We start from the raw sequence: 19018 nt of genomic DNA, 5'->3' as shown, positions 1-19018 counted from the left end.
CAGCCTCCCAAGTTAGCTGGGACTACGGGCACACTACCATGCCTGGTTAATTTTTTTTTTTTTTTTAACAGGCAGAGTCTCACCATGTTGCCCAAGCTGGCCTCGAACTGACAGCCTCAAGCAATCCTCCCATCTTGGCCTCCCAAAGTGCTGAGATAACAGGTGTGAGCCACCGTACCTGGCCTGAAATAATTTCTTAAACTGAAGCTCAGATTCAAAAAGATTAGAAAAGCTATTGAGGACATGTAACTTGGGTATTTTTTGACATGGACATCAGAAACCTTCCACCTGTGAAGACTCCAATATAAAATCCATAAAGGACTTAAGTTATTGAATGTAAAATCTTAAGAAAAATGGACTTAGTGAATCAGTTATAGGGAGAACATGAATGTTACCTTAAATATATTCTAAGTTCAAATTTCAAATGTCTATTGGACACGTTAACGTAGATGTCCATAGGCACCATAAAAAGCAACATGTCCAAAGCAGATTTCACTGTATTTCTCAAATGTGCTTTTACTTCTGAGTTCCCTACCTCAAGTAACAGCATCTCATCTACCCAATTAGGAACAAAATGTAAGTGACATTTTCAATTCCACCCTGACCCTCAACCACCTCATGAGTTCTTATGGTCTCCTAGTATCTTCAGGATACATGCTTCTACAACTTAACCAAACAGGTTCATAGAACATAAAGATGCTGCAATAGCAAGGTATACTTAACTGCAATTTTTTTAAAAACCTAATCATAGAAACTTTCTTCTTCTTTTTTTTTTTTTTTTTTTTTTTTGAGACGGAGTCTTACTCTGTCACCCAGGCTGGAATGCATGGTGCAATCTCGGCTCACTGCAACCTCCGCCTCCCGGGTTCAAGCAATTCTCCTGCCTCAGCCTCCCAAGTAGATGGGACTACAGGCGCATGCCACCACGCCCGGCTAATTTTTTGTATTTTTAGTAGAGACGGGGTTTCACTGTGTTAGCCAGGATGGTCTCCATCTCCTGATCTCGTGATCCAAAGTGCTAGGATTACAGGCGTGAGCCACCGCGCCCGGCCGTCATAGAAACTTTCTAGAGAGCACATGATAAAGAGAGTTCCTTACATAGATTTTCATGTCAATTTAAAGGCATGATTTGTTCAATAGTATAAAAGCCTTATCAATTATTTTCTGCATAATCTAAAAGTTTATAAATATTAATGATCTGATAATGATCTTAGGGAAAAATCTGTGAAAGACATTTGGAAATTACACTTTTTTTTTTTTTTTTTGAGACAGTCTGACTCTGTCCCCCAAGCTGGAGTGCAATGGCGCGATCTCGGCTCACTGCAAGCTCCGCCTCCCGGGTTTATGCCATTCTCCTGGCTCAGCCTCCCGAGTAGCTGCGACTACAGGCGCCCACCACCACGCCCGGCTAATTTTTTGTACTTTTTAGTAGAGACGGGGTTTCACCATGTTAGCCAGGATGGCCTCGATCTCCTGACCTTGTGATCCACCCGCCTCGGCCTCCCAAAGTGCTGGGATTACAGGCGTGAGCCACCGCGCCCGGTCAGAAATTATACTTTTAATTGCAGTTAAAATATACCTGCACAACTACTTTGTTCAACACTAACAGAAAGTATTTTAAAAAATAAATAAATAAATAAACGTAAGTTTGAGTTTTCAGCAATCAACAGGAAAAAAATAAAAAGAATAGCTAATAAATATGTCAGATAAGTAAGAGCACTCAAAAGACTGAATTCTATCTGCATCTCTACAATGTATAAAGATGTAGCACAGGTAATATATATAAGACTGAATCAGGACCAAAAGTTCCAAAAACAGAATATACCAGGAGTTAACTTACTGTTTTACAAATAAAAATGTGTATGTTATAGTCCTTTTGAAGTTTGTTCACTGCATGTGGCCCTAACCCATGTCATAGACAGTTGCTTTGAATTCCTGATCTATGAAACTGAAAAGCTAAGAAATCCTATTCAACAACTTGGTAAATATAACAGGCCTCAGAATATGTATAACATCTTAAAGTATTTATGCTATATAATTACACCAATAATTTAAAGTTTATATTACATCTTGACGTCAAGAGGCCCACAGTTCCTGGTTTTACAAGCTTTCATTGACATAAATGTCACTTCACAGATTAAAAAAAGGGGGGGCGGGGATAGTAACCCACATAACATTTATGTAAACACATACTTGTTTCCATTTCAATAGAAGAACCTATATTAGTATCTATGGTGATTATGAGTACCAACCTTAAAATGCAAAAGAAAGCCATATACAAGGCCCCATTAGCAGTTAGAAATGAAGCGGATTGTAGGATCTCAGGGAGTAGTTTGTGTAAATAATAGTCTAATTTCCGTTTCCGGAGAATTGCTGCAATCTGGAAAGAGAAAGGATTTTTTGTTTAATCCAACCAACATTTCCCACTTAAATTAGCTTATATGTGGAAGCTACTGTATAAAAGCATATATTTATAAGTTAAAGTAAAAATGCTGGCATTTCACTGGATCTTCTATAAAAATACAATGTTCAGGATAGAAAGGAAGACACCTGAATTTATTGAGGGTAAAATATACACCAAGGAATTACGATATGGGTCATACGTTGAATAATCTCCATACATTGAGGTAAATATTTGTAATGCCTTAAAACAATTTTAAACTGAAAAATGGAATATATTTTTAAATGAAAAAAATTCCATTTCAAATAAAAACTGGATGGTATAATAAAACTATATTACAGATTTTATCAGGCTATTACTATTAGAGAACTTCACTAATAGAAACCAGAGAAATTCATTCAGTTATTCAAACTTGACTTCTGTGTGGCAAGAAAAAAAAATATATATATACTACATATATATAGTATATTACTATATATATACATAGTGTGTGTATATATATATATATTTAGTAAATTTAAAAAATAATGATTTCTGGCCTCCTGGAGCCCATTAAAAAAAAAAAGACCTGAAAAAATAATATTAAGAATCTAGGCCGGGCGCGGTGGCTCACACCTGTAATCCCAGTACTTTGGGAGGCCGAGGTGGGCAGATCACAAGGTCTGGAGTTCAAGACCATTCTGGCCAACATGGTGAAACCTTGTCTCTCCTAAAAATACAAAAAATGAGACGGGCGTGGTGGTGGGCGCCTGTAGTCCCAGCTACTTGGGAGGCTGAGGCAGGAGAATTGCTTGAACCCGGGAGGCGGAGGTTGCAGTGAGCCCAGATTGTGCCACTGCACTCTAGCCTGGCAACAGAGTGAGACTCTGTCTCAAAAAAAAAAAAAAAAGAAAGAATCTAGTAACAACACAAGTATGTATCACCTGTGACCAGAACACAGAAACACGAATAAGTCCCAATACAAAAGACTGCAGAAGTTTATCATAGGACTGTTTTATAAAAAATATCAACCTATCAGTCTTCATGACTTAGCTTTTAAATTTAGATTGAAAACCTTTTTTTTTTTTTTTTTTTGGTGAACTCTGAATATGAAAGGAAGATTTCTAGATTAAAACCAAAAAAGGCCCTGAAATAATTTAGCAATTATATGGATAGACATGAAATCTAAGTATTTATTGAGCAGACTATTAACGTTCCAGGAAATAAAGCAATATAAATCATAATATGTGCAAGATATATAGATACTGAGGACTGATTAAGTGTTAGTAATATAATAGAAAGTACCACAGAATTTTAGCAGAGTCAGTTTAATACAGGGGAAGGCAGGAATTTCATGGAGAACGGGATATGAGCTGAACTGGGAAGAATAATAGACTCCTCACTAGTCGTAGAAAAGAGTACTTCTCCATCATAATGAAACAACATAACCAAAAAGGTTAGAACATAATAGGGAAGGAGTAAGAGGGTGTAAGAAAGAGAAAAACTAACTTCAGAACAGAAAGACTATAAAACTCTCCATTTATTCTCCATCTTTCTAGAGATAATACTTTTCCGAAAGTCAGTGATCAACAAATCTAATGGCATCTTCTCAATTCTTCTGTTACTCCCTCCCTCTTCAAGCCTCTGAAACTGACCATCTATTACTTCGATTCAACTCTCATACACAGGCAAAACAATGATGAATAAGACCCAATCTTTTCCTTCAAGGAACATAAAATCTCCGTAGGGAAATAGACACAAACAACAGCAGTAAGCTATAATATGCCAGTGTGGTAAATGATAGGTTAAAAGAAAAGAAAAACTAAACCTCAACCTAAGTCTCACACTTTATGCAAAAATTAATTTAAAATGGATCACAGGCACAAATGTGAAACATAAAACTACAAAATTTCTAGGGGGAAAAAATGGAGCAAATCTTATGGATACAAGGCTAGACAATGCATTCTTAGACTTGACATCAAAAGCACAACTCACAAAAGAGAAAATTGATAAACTGAACTTCATCAAAATTCAAACTTTTTCTCTATTAAAGACCTGTTGGGAAATTTAAAAAGGCAAGCTCCAGAAGAGAAGAAAATACTTAGAAATCACATATCTAATACGGAACTAGTATCTAGAATACATAAAGAAGTCCCAAAACTCAACAATAAAAAGCAAACAACCCAATTAGAAAATAGGAAAATATATGACCAGACATTTCACAGAAGAGGATAAACAGACAGCAAATAAGCACATTAGCCATCAGGAAAATGCTAGTTAAAGCCACAATGAGGTGTTACAACTATCAGAATGGCTAAAATAAAAAACAGTGACAACATCAAATGTTGGAAGGATTCAGAAAAACTGGATCACTCATGCATTACTGGTGGAAATATGAAATGGTATAGCAATTCTGGAAAACAGCTTAGCAGTTTTTTGAAAAATTAAACAATCAACTATTATTTGTCCCAGCAATTGTAGTCCTGGGGTATTTATCTCTGAGAAATAAAAACATATGCTTATACAAAAACCTGTGAAGGAATGTTTATAGCAGGTTTGTCTGCAATCGTCAAAAACCAGAAACAACCCCGATGCCCTTCAAAAAGTAAATGGTTTAACAAATTGTGATATAGCCATGACATGAAATGCTATTCAGCAATAAAAATGAACAATAAAAAGCATATATGAAACAACCTTGATGAATTTCCACAGAATTATACTGAGTGGGGGGAAAAAAAAAAAGCTAATCCTAAAGCTACATACTGTATGATTCCATTTCTAGAATATTGTTTTTTTGGGTTTCTTTTTTGAGACAAAGTCTCGCTCTGTTGCCCAGGCTGGAGTGCAATGGCATGATCTCAACTCACTGCAATCTCCACCTCCCAGATTCAAGCAATTCTCCCTGCCTCAATCTCCCAAGTAGCAGGGATTACAGGCGCCGGCCACCACGCCCAGCTAATTTTTTGTATTTTTAGTAAAGATGGGGCTTCGCCATGTTGGTCAGGCTGGTCTCGAACTCCTGATCTCAGGCGATCCGCCCACCTCGGCCTCCCAAAGTGCTGGGATTACAGGCGTGAGCCACCGTGCCTGGCCTCTATAACATTCTTAAAATGACAAAATTATAGAAATGAATAACTTAGTGGTTGCCAGGGATTAAGGGGGAGTGGGTAAGTGGAAAAGAAGTGAGTATAGCTATAAAAGGCAACATTAGGGATCCTTCTGGTGATGGAAATGTTCTGTATTTTGACTGTATCAATGGCAGTATTTTTGTTGTGATATTATACTACTACTTTGCAAGATGAAACAATTGGGAGAAACTGGATAAAGAGTTAACTGAATCTCTTGAAGAACTGTACTTCTTACAACTGCATGTGAATCTACAATTATCTCAAAATTAAAAGTTCAATACTTTGTGTAAAAAAAAAAAAAAAGGAGTCATTCGCATGACCAATAGGCATATAAAAGGCTACCAGCACCATTAGTCATCAGAGAAATACCACCACACACACATTAGAATGGCTAAAATGCCAAGAACTGATAATATAAAGTGCTGGTGGGAATGTAGAGCAACTACAATTCTCACACAGCTTTAGGATTAGTTCTCATATATTGCTCATGACAATATAAAATTGTGGTCCCCTTGGAAAACCGTTGGATAGCATCTAATTAAATGTGTACCCCATAACCCAGACATAATTAAATGTCTACCCCATAACTCAGCAATTCCATTCCCGGGTATTTTACTCAAAAGAAATAAGTGCTTATGTCCGCCAAAAGACATATTTATAGCATTATCTGTCATTACAAATACTGTAACCACCTAAATGTCCATTAACAGTAAAGTACATAAATTGTACATATTTACCATATTGATAGACCAAACTGTACAGTCTATTGTGAGAAACAGGAAATATCTAACACAAGACACAGAAAATAACCTAGGACCTTATCATCACTGTGCTGTAACCCAGAGCTTCTAACCAAGGTTTACAAGTGGCTAAAATAATGATCCTCTCAGTAGTCTAGTTAGCCAGGCCAGACACAAGGTAACAGGGCAGGGTGACCACTGCCTCTGTTTTCCCCAGTGTGCCACGTATTTTTATCATTTTCTATGTAAACCACAGCACACTACAGCATGAAAAAGGTTAGGAAGCACTAATCTAAACAAATAACATACCAATAATTGTGTTAGCCATGTAGTAATTACAATAGCACTTGCACTCATGTATAAAATCATCAGATATCAGATACCTTCAGAAACATCACATTTTATAATCAAAGACTTCGTAATGTTCATATGCTTTGACCAAATAATTCCACATTCATTAATTTCTTATGAATTTTTCAAACATGCATATAAAGATTTAGCTAAAAAAAGGCACATCATACCACTATGGTTAAAATACATATCTGTATTTATGTATTTACATGACCTGGTTTTAGAAGACTATTTCATGCCCTAGGAAAATGAATCAAAATATATAAAGTGAAAAGACAGATTACCAAAAAATAATTTGTAATGAACATACAGAACAAATACTAGAATGTTATACACTGATTATCTCTAAATGGTTGATAATAGATTATTTTAATTTTCTTCTTTTCACTTTTGGATACGTTCCAGACTTTCTACAATAAATATATGTTACAATTTATAATATTGGGGCAAGGAGAACAAGTGTGAGAAATAAGGATTAATTATCATAGAAACAAATCTCAACAGGGAGTGGAAACAATCAGCATAATACAATACAATTAACAGATTTTATTTTTAATCTTAACCCCACAATTATTTCTATGAAAAATCCTTGTTTAGAAACGTGCTGTTTAGATTTCAATCTCCTCATTTACTAAATAAAGAGGTTAAATTAAATAACAAAACTGTTCATTTTTTCTACTTCTAAAATTATGTAATTTTTTTAAAAATAAATGGGCCGAGTGCAGTGGCTCACGCTTATATCCCAGCACTTTGGGAGGCCGAGGCAGATGGATCACAAGGTCAGGAGTTCAAGACCAGCCTGGCCAAGATGGTGAAATCCCATCTATACTAAAAATACAAAAATTAGCCGGGCACAGTGGCAGGCGCCTGTAATCCCAGCTACTCAGGAGGCTGAGGCAGGAGAATCGCTTGAACTCGAGGAGGTGGAGGTTGCAGTGAGCTGAGATCACACCATGGCACTCCAACCTGGGCGACAGAGTGAGACTCCATCTCAAAAATAAATAAATAAATAAATGATATTAGAAGAATTGGACATCTATGCGGGGGGGGGGGGGGGCTTGGGGGGAAATGTTCTTTGACCCCTACCTGAAACTATACACAAAAAGTAATTTGAAATAAATCATGTACCTAAATTTGAAAATTATAAAACAATAAAGTGCCCAGAAAAAGGGGCTAGATGCAGTGGATCACGCCTGTAATCCCAGCACTATGGGAGGCCGAGGTGGGCGGATCACGAGATCAGGAGTTCGAGACCAGCCTGACCAACATGATGAAATACCATCTCTACTAAAAATACAAAAATTAGCCAGGCGTGGTGGTGTGTCCCTGTAATCCCAGCTACTCAGGAGGCTGAGGCAGGAGAATTGCTTGAACCCAGAAGGTGGAGGCTGCAGTGAGCCGAGATTGTGCCACCGTACTCCAGCCTAGGCAACAGAGTGAGACTTTGTCTCAAGAAAAAAAAAGTACCCAGAAGCAAACATAAGTTAATATCTTCACAAATATTCCAGGCATGAGTCAAAAGACAGGCAGCAATAAGCAGAGTTGATTAAACGCAAGTATGGAGACCAACCTGACTAATACGATGGGCACAGACTGAAGAGTGATACAAAATTATAAGGTCAGGCCCCCAATTTAGAAGTATCTCTTCATAAGATTATCACTATTAAACATCCATCAGCACTATATACATTCTCTTGTTATTCCCGTTTCTTTCCCCATGTGATTAGTGCTGCACATTTGCCATAGAGATGGTTGACTGTATTGGGATTGCACTTTACGGCCATGGAATAAAGCTAATTGGCCTCAAAGACCCATGATCTTAGCCTTACTAGTACCAAACTCTAAATTAGTAGTTACTGTGAGCCTCCGAGTTTGATCATTAAACTCTTCTAGAAGAATACATTTCTAAAGGGTGATAGTGTGAGAAATCTAGTTTCTTTGGAAAATTAAATAGTTTGCAAATAAGAGTCAATTTTATGTTGTATCTATTTAATCTTTCTTAAAGTAATCTCTAGCAAAAAATGATTTCTTTAAAGTAGAGTTTCTCAGCCTTGGCACTATTGACATTTTGGGCCAGATCATCTGTTGTGCAGGGCTGTCCTATGCATTGAAGGATGTTTAGCAGCATCCCTGCCCTCTACTTTCTAAATGGCAATAGAATCCCCCCAGCTGTGATAACCAAAAATGCCTACATTGTTAAATGTCTCCTAGGAGGTAAGATTGTGCCCCTTATTGAGTAAGAACAACTGCTTTAAAGGAAAGAGCATAATGAATTTATATATTTTGAATATGTTAGTTCCAGAATTTTTATTTTATTTAAAAAAAATGCTTATATAGCACTTGTGCCAGGCACCATCCTATATACCATACAAATGTCAACTCATTTAATTTCATAACAATCTTTACCCCACAACTATTTCTATGAAAAATCCTTGTTTAGATGCTCTTTAGATTTCAATCTCCTCATTTTATTGGGCATGATTTTAATGGGCATGATTTTATTATCACCATTTTAGAGATAAGAAAAAGGACAGGCCGGGTGCGGTGGCTCACACCTGTAATCCCAGCACTTTGGGAGGCCGAGGCGGGCAGATCACGAGGTCAGGAGATTGAGACCACCCCGGCTAACACAGTGAAACCCCGTCTCTACTAAAAATACAAAAAATTAGCCAGGCGTGGTGGTGGGCACCTGTACTCCCAGCTACTCAGGAGGCTGAGGCAGGAGAATGGCATGACCCCGGAAGGCAGAGTTTGCAGTGAGCCGAGATCACGCCACTGCAATCCAGCCTGGGTGACAGAGCGAGACTCCGTCTCAAAAAAAAAAAAAGGAAAGAAAAAAGAAAAAGTACAGAGAGACGAAGTTACTCAAGGTGACTGATACAGGCAGAGCAGGGATTGAAGTCAGGCAAGTGGCTCTTAACTACCAATTGATGTTGAAGTCAAAACACATTCTAAATAAGGAGAATTATCACTTATCCATACTGCATGTTATAAATTTAAACCTGTGACTTACTAGCTCCTACAGAAGATCAAGTTGCCTATTCTCAGAGAAAAACACAAAAACATAGGGAAACTACAACTAAGATATAAAAATAACCTGACTCTTCAAAAATTTGGTGATCTAACCTGCAGAAAGACTAAATAAGGCACCCATGATGACTCAGGGGCTAGAAACTACAGTTCCAGTCTACAAAAAAATAAAGAGGAAAGAAGATGGAAAAACAACATTCACAACACTAAATTAGCAAATAAAAAGAATTAATTCCAATAGCAGAGACTGGACAACAACCAGCTGTGCAATTAACTTTACCCTCTTCCTTGTCCAAGATCTATAAGATTTACTTTTTTTCTTTCTTTTTTTTTATTCAGAGTCATGCTCTGTTGCCAAGGCTGGAGTGCAGTGGCGCGATCTCCGCCCACAGCAACCTACACCTCCCGGTTCAAGCGATTCTCCTGCCTCAGCCTCCCAAGCAGCTGAGACCACAGGCATGTGCCACTGCACCCAGCTAATTTTTGTATTTTTAGTAGAGACAGATTTTCACCATTTTATGCAGGCTGGTCTCGAACTCCTGACCTCGTGATCTGTCTGCTTTGGCCTCACAAAGTGCTGGAATTACAGGCGTGAGCCACCACGCCCGGCCCCAAGATCTGTTAATAAGTACTTTTTATAAATAAGATAACAAATATAAAGTATTTAGCAGAGTAACTAGCACATAGTAGGCATTTTGAAAATGCTAGTTTCCTTCACTCTGCAGAATTGCTTCCTGATTCAACCCCAATTCCTTCTTGTGTTGTGCAGTTTTGTTTTATTAAGTGTTAAGAAGAGATTTCCTCTCTGGTAATCAGAGTATCTGGGAAAGGCCAGGTGTGGTAGCTCATGCCTGTAATCCCAGAACTTTGGGAGGCTGAGGCGAGTGGATCACTACAGGTCAGGAGTTCGAGACCAGCTCAGCCAACATGGCAAAACCTTGTCTCTACTAAAAATACAAAAATTAGCCAGGCGTGGTAGCACACGCCTGTAATCCCAGCTACTTGTGAGGCTGAGGCAGGAGAATCACAGGAGAATCGCTTGAATCTGGGAGGCAGAGATTGCAGTGAACCGAGATCACGCCATTGCACTTCAGCCTGGGCAACAGAGCGAGACTCCATCTCAAAAAAAAAAAAAAAGAACTTCAAACAACAGAACTAAAGTAGGATATTCATCCATAATCAAAAGACCTCCTGTATTTTTTTTCTAAAAATTTTTCGGCTGGGCGCGGTGGCTGACGTCAGCACTTTGGGAGGCCGAGGCAGGTGGATCGCCTGAGGTCAGGAGTTCAAGACCAGCCTGCCCAACATGGTGAAGCCCCGTCTCCACAAAAATACAAAAATTAGCCAGTCATGATGGTGGGTGCCTGTAATCCCAGCTACTTGGGAGGCTGAGGCAGGAGAATTGCTTGAACCCAGGAGGTGGAGGTTGCAGTGAGCCAAGATTGCACCACTGTACTCCAGCCTGGGTGACAGAGCGAGACTCTGTCTCAAACAAACAAAAAAATTAAATTAAAATTAAAATTAAAAATAAGACCTTGTTCTCATGCCTGTAATCCCAGCACTTTGGGAGGGTGAGGCAGGCAGATCATGAGGTCAGGAGATGGAGACCATCCTGGCTAACATGATGAAACCCCGTCTCTACTAAAAATACAAAAAAATTAGCCGGGCATGGTGGTGGGCGCCTGTAGTCCCAGCTACTCGGGAGGCTGAGGCAGGACAATGGCATGAACCCAGGAGGTGGGGCTTGCAGTGAGCTGAGATCGCGCCACTGCACTCCAGCCTCGGCAAGAGAGCAAGACTCTGTCAAAAATAAAATAAAATAAAATAAGACCTTGTTTTTAAAAAACAATTTATCATAGGCCAAGGCGGGTGGATCACTTGAGACCAGAAGTTCAAGACCAGTCTGGCCAACATAGCGAAACCCAGTCTCTACTAAAAATACAAAAAATTAGTGGAGTGTGGTGGCACACGCCTGTAATTCTAGCAACTCAGGAGGCTGAGGCAGCAGAATCACTTGAACCCAGGAGACAGAGGTTGCAGCAAGCCAAGATCACGCCACTGCACTCCAGCCTGAGTGACAGAGCAAGACTGTCAAAAAAATAATAATAATAATAATAAAGGAGGCAGAATTATTTGTTGTAACAAACAAATTTTTCTGTATACCATGTTTAATTTTATGTATCAATCTAACTGGGCCAAGGAATGCCTAGACATTTGGTCAAATGATATTCTGGGTATGTCTATGAGGGTGCTTCTAGGTGAGATTAACATTTGAATCAGTAGACTGAGAAAAAGATTGTCCTTCCTAATGTGAGTAGGCTTCATCCTCTCAGTTGAAGACCTGAAGAGAACAAAACAACAAACTCCTCCTGCCTGATTTCTTGAGCTAGGACACTGGTATTTTCCTGCCTTCAGACCTGACTGAAACACCAGTTCTTCTTGGGTCTACAGCCTGCTGGCTTCCAGACTGGAACTTACACCATTGTCCTCTTCTAGTACTCAGGCCTTTGGACTCACACTGGAATTACACATTGGCTCTCTGGGTCTCCAGCATGCCAACTGCAGATCTTGGCATTTATTAAGCCTCCAAAATTGTGAGCCAATTCCTTATTTTATACACACACACAAACACACACACACACACACACAGAGGCTTCTGTTTCTTTGAAGAACTCTAATAAGCTAAATCTGAATTGCTTCCAACGTCTTTATTTTTAAGGTTAGAATCATAAGCTACAAAAGCCAAATATAAATATCTCAAACAAAATAACAAGAAACCAAGTATTATAGACCAATATTTACCTATCTTCTTACAGTTTTTAAAGCTTTTATATGTGCACTATCTCATATGATTCCCACAGCAAGCCACGAAGTTAAGGCAAGATTCTCTTCTACTTATAAATGAAGAAATCGCATCATAAATCGCAAAGCAAAACAAAAACTCAGATCTTGTAACTCACAACCAGTGCATTACACCATGCTGCCCCCAACAGATACAAGAATCAGCTTATTAAAAACAAAACAAGAAAGCCAAAAAACTAGGGCAACTTGTTAATAATATATGTGGGAAGATACAAGCAATCTTCAAAAGTTTTCCGTAATGATGATACTGTAAAGCCTCCCTGTAATGAAAATCATACCATTCAAACTTTAGCGATGACCATTAAGCCTTACATACCTTACCTGTAATAGCCTTCCTCTCCTACATTTTCAAATTTTTATATAAAAGTTGAGATAGGCTTTCAAGATAAAAATAAAAATATACTTAAGTTACAATACTGAAACAAAATGTGATCAGGAACAAGACTCAGACTGAGTCCTGCGTATATTATACCCATGTTCAAAACTGAGTAATACCAATATTTTTGTAATATAGGGAAAGTCTTGAAAACACACACCTGTCACTTCAACTTTTAGTGATGGAACTCCCAGGCAGCACTACAACTTTAAACCAAAACACTCTTTCATACCCTGCCATCTTCTGCATACTTAAGTACAAATATCATGGACTCTAATGTGAAATACTTTAATTAATTGGAAAAAACTAATATATTTCTAATTGAACAACAATATTCAGATAAAAAATAGAAAGTATACATATTTGTTCCAGTCTCTCCAATAAGAATACTGGGTGACAAATTGGGTGAATATTGGGTAATGAATTGAATCCTTTAAACAGAACTCATGAACACTAAGAGTTCAAGCCCAGGAAGGATGATTTGAGAAAGAGAAGAAATCACAGATAACAGTAACTACTTGACTAAAAAATAACAACTGCCTCACTATTTGTTGATACATAAATTCCACTAAAAAGAAGATAAAGCCAATGTTAAAAGGTTTAAACTGCACTTCAACACATTAATATTAAAGTCTAATAATTAGTCTGTCAACCATTTGATGGACATAAAATCCTTTACTAATCTTTGATAGGGTAATCCTAACCACCTACCTGAACCAGAAAGGAAATCTAATCATGAAATTTAACCATGGGAAAAAGAGAAAAGAGCACAGAAAAAGAAAGCTTTAAAAAGATGCTTGGCCAGGTGCCGTGGCTCACACCTGTAATCCCAGCTCTTTGGGAGGCAGAGGTGTTAGAGGTGTTCAAGCCAGAGAGGCTCCATTTTGAGTGAGGGCTAGGAAAATGAGGCTGAGACCTGCTGGGCTGCATTCTCAGAAAATTAGGCATTCCTAGCCTCTGGATGTTTACGGTTAAAGGAACAAATTAATAACGTTTACTAAAACAGACCCAGACTTGGTAGTGGCCAGATATCCCAATATCTGAAGAACAAAGGCATTCCTAATTTTGCTTTATCAATTCTTGCAAAATATAGCAATTAAGAAAATTAATCCTTTACCACAACACAAACCCTTGTAGCAGAGCACACCTCCCCCTATATACAAGCATTGTACCTAGGGTGGACGCGTTCCCCTTCTGACTTTGAGGAACATCCTACTCTGTCTATGGAGTAACTGTCCTTTCACCACTTTACTTTCTTAATAAACTTGCTTTTGCTTTGCGCTGCGGACTTGCCCTGAATTCTTTCTTGCGCAAAATCCAAGAACCCTCTCTTGGAGTCTAAATCAGGATCCCTTTCCTGTAACAGAGGCGGGTGGATCACTTGAGGTCAGAAGTTCGAGACCAGCCTGACCAACATGGTGAAACCCCAACTCTACTAAAAATACAAAATTAGCCAAGCATGGTGGCGCATACTTGTAGTCCCAGCTACACAGGAGGCTGAGGCAGGAGACTCACTTGAACCTAGGAGGCGGAGGTTGGCGTGAGCCGAGATCGTGCTATTGCACTCCAGCCTAGGCAACAAGAGCGAAACTCCATCTCAAAAAAAAAAAAAAGATGCTTAACTTCTCAGACTTCACAATTTTGTCGAAAAAAATCCCAACTTACCTTTAAATGGAGGAAGACAAATAGAAGTTATTCAAAATAGTTTTTCTAACATTTGTAATTGAAAATTTCTGACTACTATAATTTAAAACATAGATTTTACTAGAAGGAAGTTTCAGTTTCAGAGCATCTGTTAATCGAGGTGTTTGTAGGCAGTTAACTTTTCTTACTGCCTTTGACTTTCAGGTAAGTAAAGGCCAAATTCTTGACCAGGGTATTGGATTTGTGAAATTGTCAAATAAACTATTTTTCTATAAAGTAATTGCTTCTTATTTCTCTTGATTTGTCACGTTAAAATTTGTTTTTTGTGCCATAAATGTTAAACCTAATATATGTGCATTTCATATATATTCATATAATCACCATGTCACTTCCTTAGGAAAGGCTTCCCAAACCCTCTACACTAGAATGGATCCTCTTGTAAACAGCCTAGTAACATTCTGAACGTCTTCTTAATAGCACTTACCACAGATAATTTCGTATTTATTTAAAGTTTACCTTCCCCCTTCATTGTTAACCTCCACGTTCCCCTCACTCCAGTATTTCTTACTCATTGTAGGTAACATGTAATATTTGATTAATGAAATAAGGGTAGATAAGAGACAGTGAAAGGAAATGAAGATTCAGAGTAAATACAGTTATACTACACTCCAAATGCAGCCAGGGGCACACAGAAATTTGGCTGTTTCTGGTTAATTCAGTGCCTCCTGTGCTTGAGAGTTTCTGACATACGGGTCTGAAAAAAAAAATTGTCCCATGTGTATTTCTTTCAAGGTTTAAAAATCGAATCTAATCAGAATAAGCCTTCCTTCATCACTGGCAATAGGTGCAGAATCTTTCAAGGAAACTCCCAAAGTGGATTAATCACAATCCAAACCCCCAAGATCAAGTAAGAATCAAGAAACCAAAGCAACCTGACAAATCTAATGAGTCAAAGGGCTATACAAAATAAATGACAGTAAGTTGAAAAAATTCAGCATTCTTATAAAAGGAACTTGCTCAAATCTGATGATACTTGATTTAGCACTCTTCCTTAATACTTTTCTTTCACATATAAATTATTTAAGGTCCATTTTACTAAATATTTTTCTTTTTTTCTTTTTTTCTTTTTTGAGACAGAGTCTCACTCTGTTGCCAGGCTGGAGTCCAGTGGCGCAATCTAGGCTCATCGCAACCTCTGCCTCCGGGCTCCAGTGATTCTCTTGCCTCAGCCTCCCCAGTAGCTGGGATTACAGGCACACGCCACCATGCCCAGCTAATTTTTGTATTTTTAGTGAAGATGGGGTTTCACCATGTTGGCCAGGCTGGTCTCGAACTCCTGACCTCAGGTGATCTGCCCACCTTGGCCTCCCAAAGTGCTGGGATTACAGGTGTAAGCCAACCTGCCCCGCCACTAAATATTTTTCAATACTGCTATGAGCCAAGTTAGTTAAAATCTTCTTTAATTTATTTCAGTTATTGATTCCCCTCAAGTATAATTATGAGGAAGACAGAGCCTCACATATGATATGTAAGAACAATTCACCATACTAACTTGACTCATTAATTATTCAGGCTCACTAACAAATACTTATTAACTATATTCCTAGTATCCAAAGATAAAACAGATTCATATCCTATTACCTGAAGGAAAAAATACACAAATCTCAATCACAACATTAAGAGCATATCAATGAGTAGAAAGAAAACTAAGATTAGTGAGTAATTAAAAGGCAATTTAAAAGTTTAACCTGCGGTCAACAGAGATTCAAATTAAGTCTTTAATACAGTACTATATTATGTATATATTACGATAATGGAAGAATAATAAATCTGAAGTATTATAAGACCATTAATCATCAAAGCATCAACCACTATTAGGCATTCTATGTGCCCAGTTTAAGTCCTTGGGGATGAAAACATATTTCACATTCACTATACTATAAAAGTAAGGGAAGTAACTGTAATGTAAGAAATTGTACTGACATTTTAAAAAGACTTTCTTCAAAATATTTTATTTAGTTCTTTGTTAAGCCATCACTTCAACTCCCCTTCCCTAATTACCACCTACCACCTGCCTACCACCTAAGTAAGTACTCAATAACTAATATGATAATAAATAAACGATCAATCTATTGTCAAGGTCTTACCACATTTTTCACTTCCAAAGCTTATACAGATAGATTTATACAACATAAGTCTGCATTCCAGCCTTTCAATCCACATCATCTTTTCATAATCAATAAAAAAAGTATCCATATATATATATATATTGCTTATGCACAAATTGAGGCACGAATTTTTTTCTCAAAGTCATAACTCACAAGAGTTACCTTTTATGTATTCCATAAAAATACACTTTTTTTTTTTTTTTGCTATCCCTCCCCCCTCCCCCGACCCCACCACAGTCCCCAGAGTGTGATATTCCCCTTCCTGTGTCCATGTGATCTCATTGTTCAATTCCCAGCTTTGAGTGAGAATATGCGGTGTTTCGTTTTTTGTTCTTGCGATAGTTTACTGAGAATGATGGTTTCCAATTTCATCCATGTCCCTACAAAGGACATGAACTCATCATTTTTTATGGCTGCATAGTATTCCATGGTGTATATGTGCCACATTTTCTTAATCCAGTCTATCATTGTTGGACATTTGGGTTGGTTCCAAGTCTTTGCTATTGTGAATAATGCCGCAATAAACATACGTGTGCATGTGTCTTTATAGCAGCATGATTTATAGTCATTTGGGTATATACCCAGTAATGGAATGGCTGGGTCAAATGGTATTTCTAGTTCTAGATCCCTGAGGAATCGCCACACTGACTTCCACAATGGTTGAACTAGTTTACAGTCCCACCAACAGTGTAAAAGTGTTCCTATTTCTCCACATCCTTTCCAGCACCTGTTGTTTCCTGACTTTTTAATGATTGCCATTCTAACTGGTGTGAGATGATATCTCATAGTGGTTTTGATTTGCATTTCTCTGATGGCCAGTGATGGTGAGCATTTTTTCATGTGTTTTTTGGCTGCATAAATGTCTTCTTTTGAGAAGTGTCTGTTCATGTCCTTCGCCCACTTTTTGATGGGGTTGTTTGTTTTTTTCTTGTAAATTTGTTTGAGTTCATTGTAGATTCTGGATATTAGCCCTTTGTCAGATGAGTAGGTTGCGAAAATTTTCTCCCATGTTGTAGGTTGCCTGTTCACTCTGATGGTAGTTTCTTTTGCTGTGCAGAAGCTCTTTAGTTTAATTAGATCCCATTTGTCAATTTTGGCTTTTGTTGCCATTGCTTTTGGTGTTTTGGACATGAAGTCCTTGCCCACGCCTATGTCCTGAATGGTAATGCCTAGGTTTTCTTCTAGGGTTTTTATGGTTTTAGGTCTAACGTTTAAATCTTTAATCCATCTTGAATTGATTTTTGTATAAGGTGTAAGGAAGGGATCCAGTTTCAGCTTTCTACATATGGCTAGCCAGTTTTCCCAGCACCATTTATTAAATAGGGAATCCTTTCCCCATTGCTTGTTTTTCTCAGGTTTGTCAAAGATCAGATAGTTGTAGATATGCGGCATTATTTCTGAGGGCTCTGTTCTGTTCCATTGATCTATATCTCTGTTTTGGTACCAGTACCATGCTGTTTTGGTTACTGTAGCCTTGTAGTATAGTTTGAAGTCAGGTAGTGTGATGCCTCCAGCTTTGTTCTTTTGGCTTAGGATTGACTTGGCGATGCGGGCTCTTTTTTGGTTCCATATGAACTTTAAAGTAGTTTTTTCCAATTCTGTGAAGAAAGTCATTGGTAGCTTGATGGGGATGGCATTGAATCTGTAAATTACCTTGGGCAGTATGGCCATTTTCACGATATTGATTCTTCCTACCCATGAGCATGGAATGTTCTTCCATTTGTTTGTGTCCTCTTTTATTTCCTTGAGCAGTGGTTTGTAGTTCTCCTTGAAGAGGTCCTTCACGTCCCTTGTAAGTTGGATTCCTAGGTATTTTATTCTCTTTGAAGCAATTGTGAATGGGAGTTCACTTATGATTTGGCTCTCTGTCTGTTGTTGATGTATAAGAATGCTTGTGATTTTTGTACATTGATTTTGTATCCTGAGACTTTGCTGAAGTTGCTTATCAGCTTAAGGAGATTTTGGGCTGAGACAATGGGGTTTTCTAGATAAACAATCATGTCGTCTGCAAACAGGGACAATTTGACTTCCTCTTTTCCTAATTGAATACCCTTTATTTCCTTCTCCTGCCTGATTGCCCTGGCCAGAACTTCCAACACTATGTTGAATAGGAGCGGTGAGAGAGGACATCCCTGTCTTGTGCCAGTTTTCAAAGGGAATGCTTCCAGTTTTTGCCCATTCAGTATGATATTGGCTGTGGGTTTGTCATAGATAGCTCTTATTATTTTGAAATACGTCCCATCAATACCTAATTTATTGAGAGTTTTTAGCATGAAGGGTTGTTGAATTTTGTCAAAGGTTTTTTCTGCATCTATTGAGATAATCATGTGGTTTTTGTC

At 38.1% G+C, this 19018-nt stretch overlaps 1 protein-coding gene across 3 annotated transcripts in view; it reads right to left on the bottom strand.

The window, feature by feature from the left end:
• Window positions 1–19018, bottom strand: part of TMEM135 (transmembrane protein 135) — a 290891-nt gene that overhangs the window by 258751 nt on the left and 13122 nt on the right. For all 3 annotated transcript variants that reach the window (NR_033149.2, NM_022918.4, NM_001168724.2), the window contains exon 2: window positions 2253–2380. Coding sequence is in view for 2 of the 3 variants with exons in the window: in NM_022918.4 (NP_075069.3) it covers window positions 2253–2380 (128 nt within the window). In the remaining variant the exon portion in view is untranslated. The remainder of the gene's footprint in view (window positions 1–2252; window positions 2381–19018) is intronic.

The sequence above is a fragment of the Homo sapiens genome, chromosome 11 (genome assembly GCF_000001405.40).
Source record: "Homo sapiens chromosome 11, GRCh38.p14 Primary Assembly".
Lineage (NCBI taxonomy): Eukaryota > Metazoa > Chordata > Mammalia > Primates > Hominidae > Homo > Homo sapiens.
The sequence above is the reverse complement of the archived record's forward strand: the minus strand, read 5'-3'. Positions and strand labels throughout refer to the sequence as shown.